General features: G+C 41.5%; 1 long non-coding RNA gene across 1 annotated transcript in view; it reads left to right on the plus strand.

Annotated features, from left to right (window-relative positions):
* The first annotated feature begins 2,069 nt into the window (after positions 1-2,069).
* Positions 2,070-18,123, plus strand: part of LOC105370982 (uncharacterized) — a 171,228-nt gene continuing 155,174 nt past the window's right edge. Inside the window, exons 1-2 of the long non-coding RNA XR_007064770.1 lie at positions 2,070-2,812; positions 9,261-9,391. This is a non-coding gene — a long non-coding RNA (uncharacterized LOC105370982). The remainder of the gene's footprint in view (positions 2,813-9,260; positions 9,392-18,123) is intronic.

Genomic DNA, 18,123 nt, shown 5'->3' on the forward strand with positions numbered 1-18,123 from the left:
ATAGAAAGTTCTATAGAAACACAGAAGAGAAAGCAATTTCTCTTCTGTGGGGGGTGTGGGGGCAATGGTGGTGGGGATCAGGAGAATATGAAGTTGTCACACAGGTAATATTTCAAGTGGATCAGGAAGGAATTCTAGGAATTTGGCAGAAAATGAGGAAGAGCATTTTTTATGTGTGTGTTTTTCATACTTTGATATGTTACTATCAGAATAAATGAAACTGATTAATGCTATTGGTCAAGTTTAGGTACATTAATATTTGCACCTCACATATACCACGAAATCTGGTATCTATTTATGAGAAATTCAAGGCACTTTGCAATGTCTGGCCTGCTTTAATTTTTTTTGTTTCATTTTATTATATTGCTCTTCTTTTGCTAAAGTAATGAGTTTTATATATATACATAAACTGAGAGGCTGAGATTACTGCCTGGCACATAGTAGGTAATACATATCTGCTGAATCAATGAATGAACATATTCAGATTACCTATATGTTTAGTGTAACTGGAGATCCTATCAAACGCACTTGTTATATATATATATATATATATATATATATATATATATATATAGCCTGATAAATATAGATATAGATATAGATATATCTCTCTCACATACACACCCCTTCCTACCATCAAAGCAACTAATTGCTGATGTGCTGATGGAACAACACCAGCAGGCAGGACGATCCTGTTACAACATATTCAGATCATGCTGTTCGGCTGAAGCCCCAGTGGTTTTCCATGTCTGTGAACCGAAACCTTCTTACCCGCTGCTGGCCTCTTCTCTGGGTGCTAAGCCCCTGCCCCCTTGGGCTGAGATCACTGGGCTCACTGACCTTCCCATGACTCAGCCAGGCTGGTTCTTGCCTCCGGGGGTTTGACACTTACTCATTTTCCCCCTGCTTGGAACTCTCTAGCTCAGCATGTGCTCATGACTGGCCCCTCACCTCCTGAAGGAGGTTCTTTGCTTCTCATGGAGGACTTTCTCACCTGCAAGTTTATTTTTATTTTTAATTTTTTTTGAGACAGTCTCACTCCGTCACCCAGGCTGGAGTGTGGTGGCGCAGTCTTGGCTCACTGCAACCTCTGCCTCCTGGGTTCAAGCAGTCCTCCCATCTCAGCCTTCTGAGTAGCTGGGATTACAGCCACATGCCACCAGGCCCGGCTAATTTTTGTATTTTTAGTAGAGACAGGGTTTCCTCATGGTGGCCAGGCTGGTCTCGATCTCCTGACCATCCAGTGATCCATCCATCTCGGCCTCCCAAAGTGCTGGGATTACAGGTGTGAACCGCCATGCCCATTGCAGTCGCTCCCACTCCACCATCATTCCCTACTTCCTCCTTCAGTTTTCACCAGTGCAGGTGTCACTGATATGCTACAGTTGTTACTTACTTATTCTGTTGATTGTCTATTTCTGCCCCCTCCTCTGAAGCATGTCAGCACCACAAGGACCAACGCTTTTGTCTGTGGTGTTCTCTGTTTTATCTCTACTGCTGAGAACATAGTAGGTGATGCGTATTTGAATCAAAGAGCGAACATGTTCATATTGTGTGTGTGTTTAGCATAAGTAACTGGGATCCTAGCATATGCATCTTATGCATTCATATCGTATGTATTTTCCACATCATAAACATTCTTTAACATGGCTTTTACTTCCCATATCATTTTAGCTTGTGCATATGTAATAATATGTGCTGTGGTCTAAATGTTTGTGTCCCTCCCCAAAATTCATATGTTGAAATCCTAACCCCCAAGGTAATGGCACTATGACGTGGAGCCTTTGAGAGTGATTAGGTCGTGAGGATAAAGCCCTTGTGAATGGCATTAGTGCCCTTATAAAAGAGACTCAAGGGAGTGCATTTGCCCCTTCTACCATGTGAAGACACAGGGAGAAGTCACAGTCTATGAACCAGGAATGTGGACCTCACCAGATACTGAATCTGCTGGTGCCTTGATCTTGGACTTCCCAGCCTCCAGAACTGTGAGAAATAAATTTCTGTTGTTTATAAGACTGGTCAGTGTACTAGACTATGTTATTTTGTTATAGCAGCCCAAACAGACTAAGACATTAGGCTACGCAGCTCGCCTGTTCCTAGGTGGTTTCAGTCCTCTACTGTTCAAAGTCTGTCAAGAACCTCTTGTTCATAAGTTCTCTCCCTTTATATAGAAGAGAAGTTCTCTTCTTTTATGTGGAAGTGGTGTTGCTGAGTGAAAGGGCATGAACAATTGAGATCTGAACCCACACATCAAACTGTAGAGCCTCATTTTGAGGTAGAATTTCTTCTTTTCATGATGTTACCTGGTAAGGGGCATGTCCCCAGCTTTTGGGAGGCGCAGACTGCATGGGAACTGCTGAAAGGTCTATGGGGACCCATTGGGCGTACTAGGCCAGTGACGGCACGTATGGGCCCCAAGGCCTTAAGGTGAGTGACAGCAAGTGGAAGGAGGGTGCAGAATGTGGCACTGGGCTGGAATGACTTAGTGGAGTGGGGTGAACAATCTGCTCATTCAGAACTGGCTTTGGGATTGTGACAGGTCCTGAACAGCTTGGAGTACTAAGAAGAGCGCTGGACATGAACTGGAATATGTGGGTTCAAATCCCACCTTTTCACTGCCCAGCTCTGTGACCCTGAGCAAGTGACTCAACCTCTGTGAGCCCCGTGTCCTCTCTGTAAAATGGAGGTATGAATGCCTGTGAGAACAGGATATGGGGAGGGTTCCTGTATAACACTTCGCCCTGCCCATCTGAATAAAAGGCTGCATTCACCCTTCCTAAGGAAGACCACTTTCCGATGTTCCAGTCTGAAGGTGAGTTTTGAGCCTAAATTCTCTATATAGTCCAATTCTATTAGTTCCAGGTTCAAAGATCTCAGAAGAGATGCCAGCGATTCTGGGTGTAGGCTTCTCCCACCTTCCCTCCCTTTCTCTCCCGAGAGGGGACATTTCTACACCTCTTCTGGGTGTCCTGAAAGGTCCATAAAGAGCAGGATGTGGCAATGGTGAGGGCAGCGGGCCCAGCCAATGTCTGTGTGGGCAACTGAGGTCTGCAGATGAGCACAGCCAGCTGACCTCCCATGAGTGCCGGCATGGTCACAAAGCCTGGCGACTTGCTGATTAAACTGAAGTGCTATTCTTAGTGGCAAGCTGTCATCCAGCCCTTATGAAAAAGGACAGAAATCACTCAGCCAGGATCTAAAAATAATTAGAAACTGACAACCAGCTCTGGGAAGAGCTTGGACCTGGAGCCTGGCCTGGGAAGAACTAAGTAGGGGAAGACCACTTGGTGGAACTTTGCAAGATCACAGAGCCCATGGCACAGACAAATAGTTTTCTGTATTTATGGCTCTTCATTATCTATTGTAATTAAAAATAAAATTTGTAAATATTTTATACTAAGAGTAATAATGGTAAAAGCTGCTTCTAGAATACTTCCAAAATGGCAGATGCTGTCCTAAGCCATTGAGTACATTCTGTGCTTGGACTCTGCAGGGTCTCTGTGGTTGGGTCATGTTACTGTTGCCATTTACAGATGAGGAAACTGAGTCTTGGAGATGGGGAATTTGGGCCACTCTAGTCAGTCTGATCACAGAGGCTAATTATCTGGAATGGTCTGGAATTGGCCTTTGGTTTCCACCCCTCCTCTTTGGCAGTTCAGGGTTGCTTGGTATTATTTTCCCAGTTGTTAACAAGCTGCTTTCTTTCAACTTCTCCAGGGAGAAAATCTTGGTTGCTGGACTTCTCAGGAAAAACTCTCAGTGGTGATTTGATTTTGGGTTTCTTTGTGGAATTTGTGCCTCACGTGCAGTTAAGCACATGGTCAGGTTTAAGGAGGTCTGTTTCAATTTGCATAGAGATGGAGCTTTGTTTCCCCCCAGCCAGGAAGAAAGAGGCATATGGCGGCCTCATTGCTTGTGGATTGGCTCAGCACCAGAAGGCACTATTCCTTGTGGATAATTAGCACAGATGCCTGAACATGGATGCTTTTTATTTTAAAACCATATTAAACATGTTTATTGGCTTTAGCTTTATTTGACCCAATTTGTTGTTCCCTCCTGCATGCTGGGCACCTAGCGTGGTGGAGGGCTCAAAGGCTTTAGGACTGCTCTGCATGGGTTCAATTCTAGCTCATTAGAGTCCCCAGTGACACAGTTACTATGTAGGCATATTCATTTCTGTCCTTTTATATTTTTATTGTAGAGGTTCTTGGAAGAGATAGAAGATGATGGACAGGCTGATCTCAGGCTGCCATCTTGAACTGGAAGCCTATACCTCCCAATGCAGTTTGGATTTCTTTGGTTCTGATATTTTTATTTTATTTTACTCTGATATTTTATTTATTTGATTTTTTTTTTCTTTGAGATGGAGTCTTGCTCCGTCACCCAGACTGGAGTGCAGTGGCGTGATCACGGCTCACTGCAAGCTCCGCCTCCTGGGTTCACGCCATTCTCCTGCCTCCCGAGTAGCTGGGACTACAGGCGCCCACCACCACGCCCGGCTAATTTTATTTATTTATTTATTTATTTTTTAGTGGAGACAGGGTTTCACCGTGTTAGCCAGGATGGTCTCGATCTCCTGACCTCGTGATCCGCCCACCTTGGCCTCCCAAAGTGCTGGGATTACAGACGTGAGCCACTGCTCCCGGCCAATTTATTTGATTTTTAAAAGAGATAGGGTCTCACTGTGTTGCCCAGGCTGGAGTGCAGTGGTGTGATCATGGCTCACTGTTACCTCAAGCTCCCGGGCTCAAGCCATCCTCCCACCTCAGCCTCCTGACTAGCTGGGACTACGTGTGTGCCACCATGCGTAGCTATTTTTTTTTTTTTTTTGTAGAGATGGTGGTCCTGCTATGTTGCCCAGGGTGATCTCAAACTCCTGGCCTCAAGCAATGGTTCTGATAATTTTTTTACTTACAGGTTCTGTTTTATGGTTATCTTGTTGCCACTTCAAATTCTATGTGAAAGGGCTTGGGAACAAATTAATAAACAAATACCCTAAACAAATACCAAAATGGTGACAGTAGTTTCTTAGTCTGATGACTGGGACTTTTCATGTTGCTGGTTTCTTTGTTCCTTCTCTCCGTAGGCTTTCTGCTCTTACCTCATCTCTTGCTTTCTTTTCTCTAACTCTTACAGAGAAAGACATTTAAAATCAGACTCAAGCATCTTGGAGAAGGGGTTTTGCTTATACTTGGCAGGTTGTTGCTTCCTATGTCTAAGACAGGAGAAAAGGAGGCTTTGAAATGTCATGAAATGTCCGGGAAGGTTTCCTGGATGTCAAGTAGCTGTTTCCTCAAATCACGGGAATGACTGAAGTGTAGAAGGATCAGAAACATACAGATTCAATTTCACTGAAAACCCACACGTGGCTTTAAAGTGTTGGGAAAATATGCGTGGGCCCAAGTCTGATTTGGGTTTAAAAAAGAATGCAGACATGATGGGTTGTGATGGAAAAGTCTAGAGGCCACTGGGTGTATCTGCTCATTCTTCACCAGGACTCTGGGGTCATACATTCCTCCTGGGATGGCTAAAGCCAGGACCTGTTAAAACGGTATGTCCAGAAACACAGAGCACGAAGACTTAGAGAAATGAGTGTGGAGGAGGGAGTGCCTATCTCTGGGAACATTCTGGTCACATTGGCAGAGCCAGAAGAATACTTCTAAGACAGAAGTATTCTTCTAAGTGTCCAGCCTGGTGCTAGTAAATAGTTGAAGAACAGGGCCAGTTCCATTGTTGTTATTCTCAGATCTGAGAGAATTCTTCTGGTGGTCCAATAATCTGTGTGGAGCTCGCGCCAGGAGCCTGGAAGCTGGCCTCCGTACCCCGACCCCTGCCCCGCCTTAACTCTCCCATTTCATCAGCTATTGTCCAGTTGATTCTACTTAGCAAAGGTCCCTGGAATTATCCAAATGCCTGTCACCCCCACTGCTACTCCTCTAGTTCAGGCCACCATTACCTCTCACTAGATTGGTCCCCTCACCCTCCACTAACCTTGCTTGCATTCAATCTAATTTCCACAAGATACATGGCGTAAGCTTTCTAGAGCCCACCTCAGCTCCTAGCATTACCCCCTTGAACTTCTTCAGGGGTTGCTTACATGCTTGCAAATTCCCAACATGATATGTGTGGACCTTCACAATTTGGCTTCTTCCTGATTTTATATGTCTTGACAACCTGTTTCCCCCTCATTCCCCTCACCCTCTCAGACCCCTAATATGCTCCAACCATTTTGAACTACTTTCAGCCAATTCCTGGCTGGGGGATCTTGGGGAAGTCAATCAACCTTCCTGTACCTCAGTTTCTTCATTTGTAAAGTGAAGATGGTAGCAGCACCTGCATGGGTTGTTGAGGATAAAATAGGTTCATATATGCCCAGTGCTTTTAGCAGAGCCTGGCACTGATTCTGCCACCTCCTCGTGCCTCTTTGTATGCAGAAACTTTGTACCTGGAACTTCCTCCCACTTCCTTCGGCTTGCTTTTGTAGCGTGGTGGTCACCACTTCTGTAGAATGAGCCGCAGGCCATGTTGCATCGTAATCGTCTGCATTTCATTCTGTCCACGCACCACACTAGAAGCTCTTTGAGAGTAGGGACTGTTTCTCCGTTGCCTTGACACACCATAGTCAATCAATATTTGCTGATATAAAGAAAAAAAAACAGCTCACAAGGAGAGACTACGCCAAATTCCAGGTAGTTGCCTGTAGACCCTGGGAAGGTAATATTTCTTTTCATAAATGCACAAATGGTTATTCTTTTTTAATGAACCAAAAGAAAAACAAATTCAGCAGGTTGGCATTTGGCAAAAGCCATTTCAACATCTAAAGATATTTCTTGTTCTGGAACTCAGAACGACTTTGCACTTCCAAATGTCATTTGCAAGGTTGCTGGACTGATTAGGTTTGCTCTTAGCCCCTTCCCTGCCCATTTCCTGCCTTGGCTGGTGTTCCTTGAATGGTTCGGCATTCCAACTTGGCCTGAGATGCCAAGGCTCCCTGCTCTGCATTTAGCCTGCATTTCTCCTGGGTCCTGAGGGAAGCTGGGAAATGCACTCTGCATTTTTATCTCATGTGGTTGGGACACAGGGTGGTGTCCCAGGGAGGAGGCACTTTCTTTTGCCCTGGGCCAGCTGTGGTGGCATTTGACATGGCTGAAGGATTCTGTCACTCCAGTTGGCCATGGCTCATTAAAATGCCTGGGCTTGCTGGGAATTGTATTTCCAAATCTGTGCTTCTCATAGGGCCATGGAAACAGATTAGGGTGTGTCTTTCCCAATGTGTCTGATTTGTCCATGGTCACATGAGGTGGAGAGGGGAGGAGGGTGTGTAGTGCAGAGAGGTGCTTTGCAAAAGTTTGCACCTGCTGTTTCCTTCCGAAAGTGTGCAATCTCTTACCCCTCCCCATCCTGTAGAAATTTCTTAAAAAAAAGCACCACATTTTGTCATTTTTGCATGTTATATGTTATAAAAATTGACTGTAAGATTTTTTAAACACCCAGCTAATAAGTGATGCATACTGTTTCATTTACTTTAATTATGTAAAAGAAGCATGATTTGTCAACAGGTACATCACAAATTATATAATTCATCAGACTTGGTTGAGAAAAACAATCTTAAAACATAGATGGAAGTTTAATTATGTATTAGCATTGAAAATAGGCAAAACCTGTCCTTGTGACCTAATATTGGGAATTCTTGCATTTTGCACTTAAAAATCAACTGGATAATTGGTGTGAATTTTTTTTTCTTTTTTTTCTTTTTGAGACAGAGTCTTGCTGTGTCGCCGGGCTGGAATGCAGTGGCGCGATCTCGGCTCACTGCAACCTCTGCTTCCCAGGTTCAAATGCTTCTCCTTCCTCAGCCTCCTGAGTAGCTGGGACTACAGGCACGCGTCACCACGCCCATCTAATTTTTGTATTTTTAGTAGAGACAGGGTTTCACCATGTTGGCCAGAGTGGTCTCAATTTCTTGACTTTATGATCCGCTCACCTCAGCCTCCCAAAGTGCTGGGATTACAGGCATGAGCCACTGCGCCCGGCCAGTTGGTATGAATTTTTAGTTACATTCTTAAGTATTGAAGAAAAAGAGCGATTTAGGCTACTTGCCATCATTTCTTCAAAGTATTCCATTGCAAGAGTAGATAGCTTAATTTCTAGTAAAGAAAGAAACAAATTGGATATAATTCTCATAGTTTTCTCACATTAATGTGGCTTCTGAAATGTTGGAGACAGCTTGACGGGCCACTAAGGTAAATGAAATTCAGAGATTAAGCTCAAAAAATCTAGGAATAACATTCTCCAAGGTAGTTTTCAACATTTCTGCCAAGAAATAGGAAATTAGACTGTGAACTGGAAGAAGATCTTTGGAAAAATAATTTGACGCTATAGTCAAAAGTCAAAATAGCTTAGCTAAAGTCAAAATTAGGCATAACCTTTGATCCAGCAGTGTTCTTCTAGCCATATGTATTGGAGAATCTTTTGATCATATGCACCAATACAGGAATGTTCATTGCAGCACTGTTTATAATAGCAAAAAATTGGAAACAGCACGGATGTTTATCAGTGGTAGAATACATTCTGGTATAGTCACACAATGAAATATTATACAGTAGTGAACAGGAAAAATTACAGCTTCATGCATTAACATGAATGAATCTCAGAAAAATAATGTTGAATGAAAAACAAAAGTCATACAGGAATAGATAAGGATGGCTTCATTTATATAAAGATTAAAAACAATCAAAACTAAACCATATATTGCTTAGGGGTATGTGGGTAGTGCATATGTGCATAGATTCCTGTCAGCACTGCCATGTGCTCTGCAGGCCACGTGAGTGAAGTGAAGAGGGGTAGATTAGGCCTGCATTCTGCCATGTCTCTGTTTCTGACTTTTACTTTCAGAAATGACTTGCCTGGGCCCTTCTGTTCCTCCTGCCTCTCAAGCCAACCCCTGCACTATAGTACAGGCCCAAACAAAGCTGAGAGAGAGAGTGTGTGTGCATGAGAGAGAGATTGAGTGTGTATGTGAAGGGTGACAGGTTTGAGAATGAAAGCAAGATCCAAGCCCACTGGCCCAAGCACACTGGATCCAAGCGCAGTCTTGGCCCTACCTATGTGACTTAAAAAAAAATCGCAAATGTGGACTGGACAACATTTATTGAGCAATTACTATGCTCCTCTCACTGTGCAATGCAATTTCTTCTGTTTCATCTCATTTCATTTTCACTGCCACCCTGCAAGTTCGTGTTGTTGCTGTCATTTTACAGACAAGGAATGCAAAGCTCACGGATGCCGAGGAATTTATCCAAGATCACTGTGATGGGATGGGAACTTTGGTTTTCAGCCTTTAAATACATTGGTGCAGAAGTCCAAGAAAGATGCTTGGAAAGACCTAGTGGTACGTAGCTTCATGTAAACCATCACCCCTTTGAATAAAAGCTAGGCAATCCCTCTGCCGCATTTTAAGTTATTATTATTATTATTATTATTTTTGCTCCAGGGTGGAGGGCAAATAAAATGTTAGCAGCCTTCTCTTGCCTTGGCTTTGGAGGCCGACTCCTCTGAGCAGGTGGCTGGTGCTTGCAGATGTGGTTGAACCTGCACATCTGGCACACATTAATCCATGGACAGGACATGCTATTACAGTCCTAATGAAATTTGGGTCTGCTGCATTTCCATAAGCCACCCAAGGAAGCAGGATTCCTGGCATTTTGTCAGAAGTAAAAGCCTGGAAGATATAGAACAATTTCTATCATCATGATGGATGAGGTTATTTTCATCTTGTACAAAGTTACTCCCAATTGAAAGGTTGGAGACAAGATAGCTCTTGATTAAATGAAAATTGTGCCTGACTAGGACATAAATTATGTAGTGGAGCAGCAAAAAAATCTGAATGTGCTTTTATGAGCTCAGTCCCCATCATGGTTTAACTCAGAGAAAAAACCTTTTCCTCCTTTGCAAGGATGTCCACGGCTACATGGTTGAAGCATTGCCCTGAAGGAATACTGTGTGGTTGGAGTTTTGGTAATGGGCATGAGCTGCTTTGGTTAATAATATTTTCATTCTGTATCTGCATCTCTTTGTTTTGTGCTTTTTAATCCATATAGACCTGTCCCCCACCACACCCACACCCAGAGGTCCTATTTCTATATCTTATGGGGTACATTTGCTTGGCCTGTGACTCTGTGAATTGTCCTCCCATCCTCATCCATCCATCTCCTGTTCCCATATATATATGAAGTATACAGTTTCCTCTTTCCCCACCAGCCCATAGGCTAGATAATTGAAGCAGGAGGGGACAACACAGTGAGATGGAACCCACTCTATTCTTCTAGAAATTTGAATTGAGGAGGGAATGGTAGAAAACGAAGTTCAACAAATATTCCTAGTTCTCCTCTTGAACGCATGGTAGGATTGCGCTTCTTGGCTCCATTGTGATTGGAATAATTCTGACCAAAGTCTTGTGAGCAAAAGGGACATGGGTTATTTTGGAGACACACAAGACCCCCAGAAATCTTTTTCCTTTTGGCATGGCAACCCACTGGGGCCCCACAGCAGCTATGATAAGCAGAGGCTCTGCCAACTCCCCATGGACTGCAGAATGAGTTAGAAATAAAACTGTTTCTGAACCACTGAGATGAGATTATTTGTTACTGCAGCATAATCTAGCTGATCCAGACTGATACACAGGGAGAGAGAAAAAATGTGAGTAAGCAAGAGAAGAGAGAAGGATCAAAATGGAGTTTTCTTAAATCTTGTGGTCTGGAATAGTAATGCATGAACTTGGGAGTGTGGTTGTTGACTTGTTGTCCATTCATGCAGTATGTAACTTTTTGAGTCTGACTTCTTTTATTGGGTATAATGCATTTGAGATTTATCTATCTTGTTGCACATATTAAGTTTGTTTCTTTTTATTGCTAATTTGGAATAGGTAGCAGAGAAGGCTATCCCACAGCTCACAATCATTGCACTGTCAACATTTCTACCCTAACCCCTTATAACCCCAAGATATCACTGACACCTTATTTTGCTTTGGCAAAAAAGAGAGAGAAATTTTTTACTTTTCAAAAAAGTAAAAAAATCTGGAGGTTTCTGGGTAAGCCATAGAGCATTGCAAAAAATCTGTTTATTTCCAAGCAGACTATGAGGATTGGTTAACAGTAATATTATTGTTGCGGGACAATCAAAGATGGGAGAGACCGAACAGAGTGAGTTCAGGAAAGGTCTTTATTAAAAGGTGATCACCTGGCTCAGTAGGACCAGCATCCAGGAAAGTCTGAGCCCCGGACAAAGAAAGCAGCCACCTTTTAAGCAGTCGGTGGCTGGGAGCTACGTGATGCAGGAAGTGTACTTACAGAATCGAGAACGAAGGCAGTTGATGAGTCTTTTACATTTATCTATACTGTATGTTCCACATCCCTGGGAAACCATGTTTCTGTATCAACCTTGTAACTTTGCAGCTGTGCTAGAGGGGTGAAGCAGGAACTCACCGAGCCTCAAGGAATGTGAAACTGGGGAGTACAGATAGGGCTCGCTGAGCACAGAAGGAAAAACAGGCAGTTAGTATTCTTCTCCAACTTAGACTACGGGGGGCGCTACACTACACTTAGCTTTTGAAGCAAAAAGTAAAAATTTTTGGTTGTTTTTGATTATACTTGTAAAATTCATGAATTCCTTCTTCATTATGAGTGTGTGTCTCAAACTGCAAAACACAGACTCATGTCTGCCAGGGTTATTTGAAGCTCTTGGTGTATTTTTCTGGAGCTCTTGACTCAAATATTTGGAATAAATGCTTAATACTTTGTATTTAAATCTTTTTAAAAATTAAATTTACAACTCAAATGTAGAAAAGTGCACAAATCACAAATGCATGTATCACCAAGTTTTCAAAAACGGAACACACCCTTGTAACAGACCACTCTGACCAAGAAACAGTTACTATTCTCTCAAAGGCACCCACTGCCTCAACTCCTAACACCACTGATTAGTTTTGCCTGTGTCTGTGCCTTTTTTTTTTTTTTTTGAGATGGAGTCTCGCTCTGTCTCCAGGCTAGAGTGCAGTGGCGTGATCTCAGCTCACTGCAACCTCCACCTCCTGGGTTCAAGCAATTCTCCTGCCGCAGCCTCCCGAGTAGCTGGGACTACAGGCGGATGCCACCAAGCCCAGCTAATTTTTGTATTTTTAGTAGAGACGGGGTTTCACCATGTTGGCCAGGATGGTCTCGATCTCTTGACCTCATGATCCACCCGCCTCGGCCTCCCAAAGTGCTGGGATTACCGGTGTGAGCCACCACACCCGGCCACATGTTTGTGCCTTTTTTTTTTTTTTTTTTTTTTTTTTGAGATGGAGTCTCGCTCTGTTGCCCAGGCTGGAGTGCAGTGGCACGATCTCAGTTCACTGCAAGCTACCCCTCCCAGGTCCACACAATTCTCCTGCCTCAGCCTCCCAAGTAGCTGGGACTACAGGCGCCTGCCACCACGCCTGGCTAATTTTTTTGTATTTTTAGTGGAGACGGGGTTTCACCGTGTTAGCCAGGATGGTCTCCATCTCCTGACCTCATGATCCACCTGCCTCAGCCTCCCAAAGTGCTGGGATTACAGGTGTGAGCCACTGCGCACAGCCGGTTTTGCCTTTTATGAGTGAATTCATATATTATGTACGCTTTCGTGTCTAGTTCTATGGCTTAACATTGATTGTGAGTTGTGTAACTATAAGCTGTTTATTCTCATTGCCTTATAGCATTCTGTTGTATAACTGTACCACAATTTATTTATCTGTTCTATAGCTAATGCACATATGGTGGTTTCTGGGGTTTGGCTACTCTGCAGTGCTGTTACATCTTCTGGTGAATATATGTAGGCATTTCTGCTAGGTCTCTATATCTACTCCCAGTGAAAATGCTGAGCGATAGGGTATACATATGTTCACCTGCAGTGCCTACCACCAAATACTTTTTCAAAGAGGTGTATTGCAATTACTTTTATTTTGAATTTAAATATAAATATAGTAAGTTCACTCTTTATTGGTGTACAGTTTATTGTATGGATGTACCATAGGTTGTTTATTCACTTACACATTGAAGGACATTTGGGTTGCTTTTGATTTTTTTGATGGTATGAATAGTGCTGTTATAAATATTTGTGTTTTTGTGTGAACATAAGTTTTTTTTTTGTTGTTGTTTTTTTGAGATGGAGTCTCGCTGTGTCGCCCAGGCTGGAGTGCAGGGCGCAATCTCCGCTCACTGCAAGCTCTGCCTCCTGGGTTCACACCATTCTCTCGCCTCAGCCTCCTGAGTAGCTGGGACTACAGGCGCCCGCCACCACGCCCAGCTAATTTTTTGTATTTTTAGTAGAGACGGGGTTTCACCGTGTTAACCAGGATGGTCTTGATCTCCTGACCTCGTGATTCGCCCACCTCGGCTTCCTAAAGTGCTGGGATTACAGGCGTGAGCCACCGCGCCTGGCCAGTTTTCATTCCTTTAGAGTAAATGTCTACGGGTGGGATTGCTGAGTAATATAATGTGTATTTAACAGCATGAGAAGTTGTTTTCCGGTGTAGCTGTACATCTTGCATTCCCATCAGCAATATATGCATTCACCTGCTCCAAATGCTCACCAGCAATCGATACTGTCAGTTTTGTTTTTAGAATTTTAGCCATTCAGTAGCTGTGATGTGGTGTCCCATTGTGGCTACAATTTTCATTCCCCTAATGACTAATGATGTTGAGCATCTTTTCATTCACAAATCTTTAAAGAAGAATACCCAAGTTTTTTGCCCATTTTTATATTTGGTTGTTTGTTTTCTTACTGTAGAATTTTGAGAGTACTTCATATGTTCTGCATACAGGTGCTTTCTCAGATACATGCTTTTCAAATATTTTCTCCCAGTATGTAGCTTGTCTTTTCAATCTCTTGTGTTTCTTTGATGAAGTTCAATTCATCAACTTTTTCTTTTATTAATCAAATATTTGGTGTCAAATGCAAGAACCCTCGGCCTCACTCAAAGTCACAAAAACTTTCTCCTATGTTTCCTGCTAAAAGTTTTGTATTTTTACATGTACATTAAGCCTACGATCCATTTTGGGTTAATTTTTATATATGGTTTGAGGCATAGGTTCTTTTTTGCATATGTATGTTTAATTTTTTTAGAACCATTTGTTGGAAACATTATCCTTTCTCTACTTATACCTTTCACTTCTACAAAAAAAATCACTTGACCGTATTTATGTGCTTTTATATATAGATTCTCTAATTTGTTCCATTGATTTCTGTTATACTAATTTTTCCAATATACATTTCGATTATGGTAGACTCCTACTAAGATTTTAAATTGAGTAGTGTGAATTCTTCAACTTTGTTTTGGCTATTCTAGCCCCTTTGCCTTTCCATATGTATTTTAGAATCATTTGTCTATATTTATTTTAAAAAATGTTTCTGAGAGTTTCATTGTGGTTGCATTAAATCTATAGTTTCATTTAGAAACTATAGGTAATTTCACTATATTAAAGTCTTTTGGTCCATGAGTATGCTATTACTCTCTATTTAGTCACTTTTTACATCCTTTATTAGAATTTTTAACATCCAGATCTTGCATGTAGTTTCTAGATTTTTACCTGTTTCCTTTTTTCCAGCGGTTGTAAATGATTTAAAAATTTTTAGTTTCCAAAATTTTATTACTAGTATATAGAAATACAATTGATTTTTGTATATTAGCTTTGTATCTTGAAACCCACTGTGTAAACTCAGTGGTTCTATGACTATTTTTGTAGATTCCTTGAGATTTTCTACATTGACAATCTTGTTATCTCTGTATAGGAACAGTTTTATTTCCTCCTTTCCAAGAAGTAAGTGCTTTCTTTTCTTGCCATATTGCACTGATTAAGATTCAATGCAATGTTGAATAAAACTAGTCAAAGTGGACTTCCTTTTCTTCTTCCTGATTTCAGGGGGAAAGCATTCAGTCTTTCACTGTTAGACGTAATGTTAGCTGTGATTTTTTTTTGGAGATGCCCTTTATCAGATTAAGGAATTTCCCTCACATTTCTTGTTTCTGAGAATTTTATTATGAATGGATGTTGAATTTTGTCAAATGCTTTTTGTGCATATACTGATAAGGATTATATGTTTTTTCTCTTTTAATTTGCTATTATGATAGGTTTTGAATTTCTGAATGTTGAGCCAGCTTTGCATTTTTGGGATAAACCTTATTTGGTTATGATGCATTATTTTTAAAAATCTATTGCTGGATTTGACTTGCTACTGTTTTGATGAGGACTTCTGCTTCTATGTTCATGAGGGATATTAGTTTATACTTTTCTTGTGCTATCATTATCTGGTTTTGGTCTCAGGGTAATTCTGGGTTCACAGATAAGTTGGGGAGTTTCCCTCCTTCTTCTCTTTTCAGTAGAGATTGTATAAAACTGGTGACTGCTAGTGAAACTATCTGGACTTGGAGTTTTGTTTGTTTGCTTTTTTTTTTTTTTTTTGAGACGAAGTATTGCTCTGTCGCTCAGGCTGGAGTGCAGTGGCGCAATCTCGGCTCACTGCAAGTTCCGCCTCTGGGTTCCTGCCATTCTCCTGCCTCAGCCTTCTGAGTAGCTGGGACTACAGGTGCCTGCCACCACACCCGGTTCATCTTTTGTATTTTTAGTAGAGATGGGATTTCACTGTTTTAGCCAGGATGGTCTTGATCTCCTGACCTTGTGATCCACCCCCCTCGGCCTCTCAAAGTGCTGGGATTATAGGTGTGAGCCACCACGCCCGGCCTGTTTGCTTGTTTTTACTAAGAATTCAAATTTATTTACTACCCATAGGGCTACTCAAGTTATCTGTTTCTTCTTGAGTGAGTTTTGGTAGTTTCTATTTTTAAAGAATTGGTTCTTTTTATCTAAGTTGAATTTTTATGCATAGAGTTGTTCAAAATATTTTCTTTATTATCTTTTAAACATTCCTCATGTCTCTAGTGATAGTTTCTCTTTCATTTCTGATATTGTTAATTGGTGTCTTGCCTCTTTTTTTTTCTTCATCAGCCTGACTAGAATGGTATTATGGACTGAATTGTGTTCCTCCAAATTTATATGTAGAACTCCTAACCCTCAGTACCTCAGAATGGGACTGTATTTGGAGATAATGTCTTTAAAGAGGTAATTAAGCTAAAGTAAATTCATTAGGATGGGACTTAATTGAATATGAATGAGGTCATTGTAAGAAGAGGAAATTAAAACCAGACAACTTAGAGGAAAGACCATGTACAGACAAGGGGAGAAGATGACCATCTGCAAACCAAGGGGAGAGGCCGCAAAAGAAAGCAACCTTGCTCTCACCTTGATCCCAGACTTCTAGACTCCAGAATAGTGAGAAAATAAGTTTCTGTTGTTTAAGCTACACAGTCTCTGGTGCTTTGTTATGTGGCCCTAGCAAACTGATACAAAGTTTACTAATTTAATTGACCCTTAAAAAAAACCTAGCTTTTGTTTTTACTGGTTTTCTCTATTGTTTTGTTTTCAATATTACTGATTTTTATTCTTGTTATTTCCTTCTTTTGCTTATTTTGGGTTTATTTTGCTCTTCTTTTCTAATTTCATAATGTGGAAGCTGAATTTGAGACCTTTCTTTTTTCCTAATATTTACATTTAATGCTATATTTTTTCCCTATATACTACTTTAGCTCCATCTCAAATTTTTACATGTAATTGCATTTTCAATTCAGTTCAAAATATTTTCTAATTCCTTTTAAGATTTTTCTCTTTGAAGCAGGGATTACTTGAATGTTAAATTTCCAGGTATTTGTTTTGTTTTTTTAACACATCTTTCTGATATTGATTTCTACTATAATTCCATTATGGTTAAAGAACATACTTTTGTATTATTTTAATTATTTTAAATTTGTTAATGATTTATTTATAACTCACAATAAGGCCTATCTTGGTAAATATCCTATGTGCACTTACAATAATGTGTATTCTGCTCTTCTTAGATACAGCATGTGATTAATATTAATTAGGTCAGTATGACTGATGGTGTTATTAATATCTTCTATATCTTTCTAATTTTCTACCTATTTGTTCATTGGTTATGGAGAGGAAAATGTTACAATATCCAACTGTAATTGTAGATTTGTCTATATCCCATTTTGGTTTTTATCAGTTTGGCTTCATGTATTTTGAGGCTATGTAGTTAGGTACAGATTTATTTGGGATTGTTATGTCTTACTGGATTAGATCTTTCACTATTATATAATGTCCCTCCTTATTTCTGGTAATTTTCCTCATTATAAAGTCTACTTTGTGTTATATTAAAATAGCCACATACAGATTTCCTTTTTTCTTTTCTTTTTTTTGAGATGAAGTCTCACACTGTTGCCCGGGCTGGAGTACAATGGTGCGATCTCAGCTCACTGCAGCGGAGTGAGCTCCGCCTTTCAGGTTCAAGTGATTCTCCTGCCTCAGCCTCCCGAGTAGCTGGGACTATAGGCGCCCGCCACCACGCCTGGCTAATTTTTTGTATTTTTAGTAGAGACGGGGTTTCACCATGTTAGCCCAGATGGTCTTGATCTCCTGACCTCAGGATTCGCCCACCTTGGCCTCCCAAAGTGCTGGGATTACAGGCGTGAGCCATCGTGCCCGGCCATGCCCAGCTAATTTTTTTGTGTGTGTTTTTAGTAGAGATAGGGTTTCACTATGTTGGCCAGGCTGGCCTTGAACTCCTGACCTCATGATCCGCCTGCCGCGGCTTCCCAAAGTGCTGGGATTACAGGCATGAGCCACCACACCCAGTCCAGATTTCTTTTTTGAGACGGAGTTTTACTCTCGTTGCCCAGGCTGGAGTGCAATGTTGTGATCTCGGCTCACAGCAACCTCCGCCTCCCGGGTTCAAGCCATTCTCCTGCCTTAGCCTCCAGAGTAGGTAGGATTACAGGCACGCGCCACCACGCCCGGCTAATTTTGTATTTTTAGTAGAGACCAGGTTTCTCCATGTTGGTCAGGCTGGTCTTGAACTCCAGACCTCAGGTGATCCGCCCGCCTCAGCCTCCCAAAGTGCTGGGATTACAGGCGTGAGCCACTGCGCCGGCCCAGATTTCTTTTAATTAGTACTTGCATTATATGTATTTTCATCTGTTTATTTTAAATT

This window comes from Homo sapiens, chromosome 15 (assembly GCF_000001405.40).
Source record: "Homo sapiens chromosome 15, GRCh38.p14 Primary Assembly".
Lineage (NCBI taxonomy): Eukaryota > Metazoa > Chordata > Mammalia > Primates > Hominidae > Homo > Homo sapiens.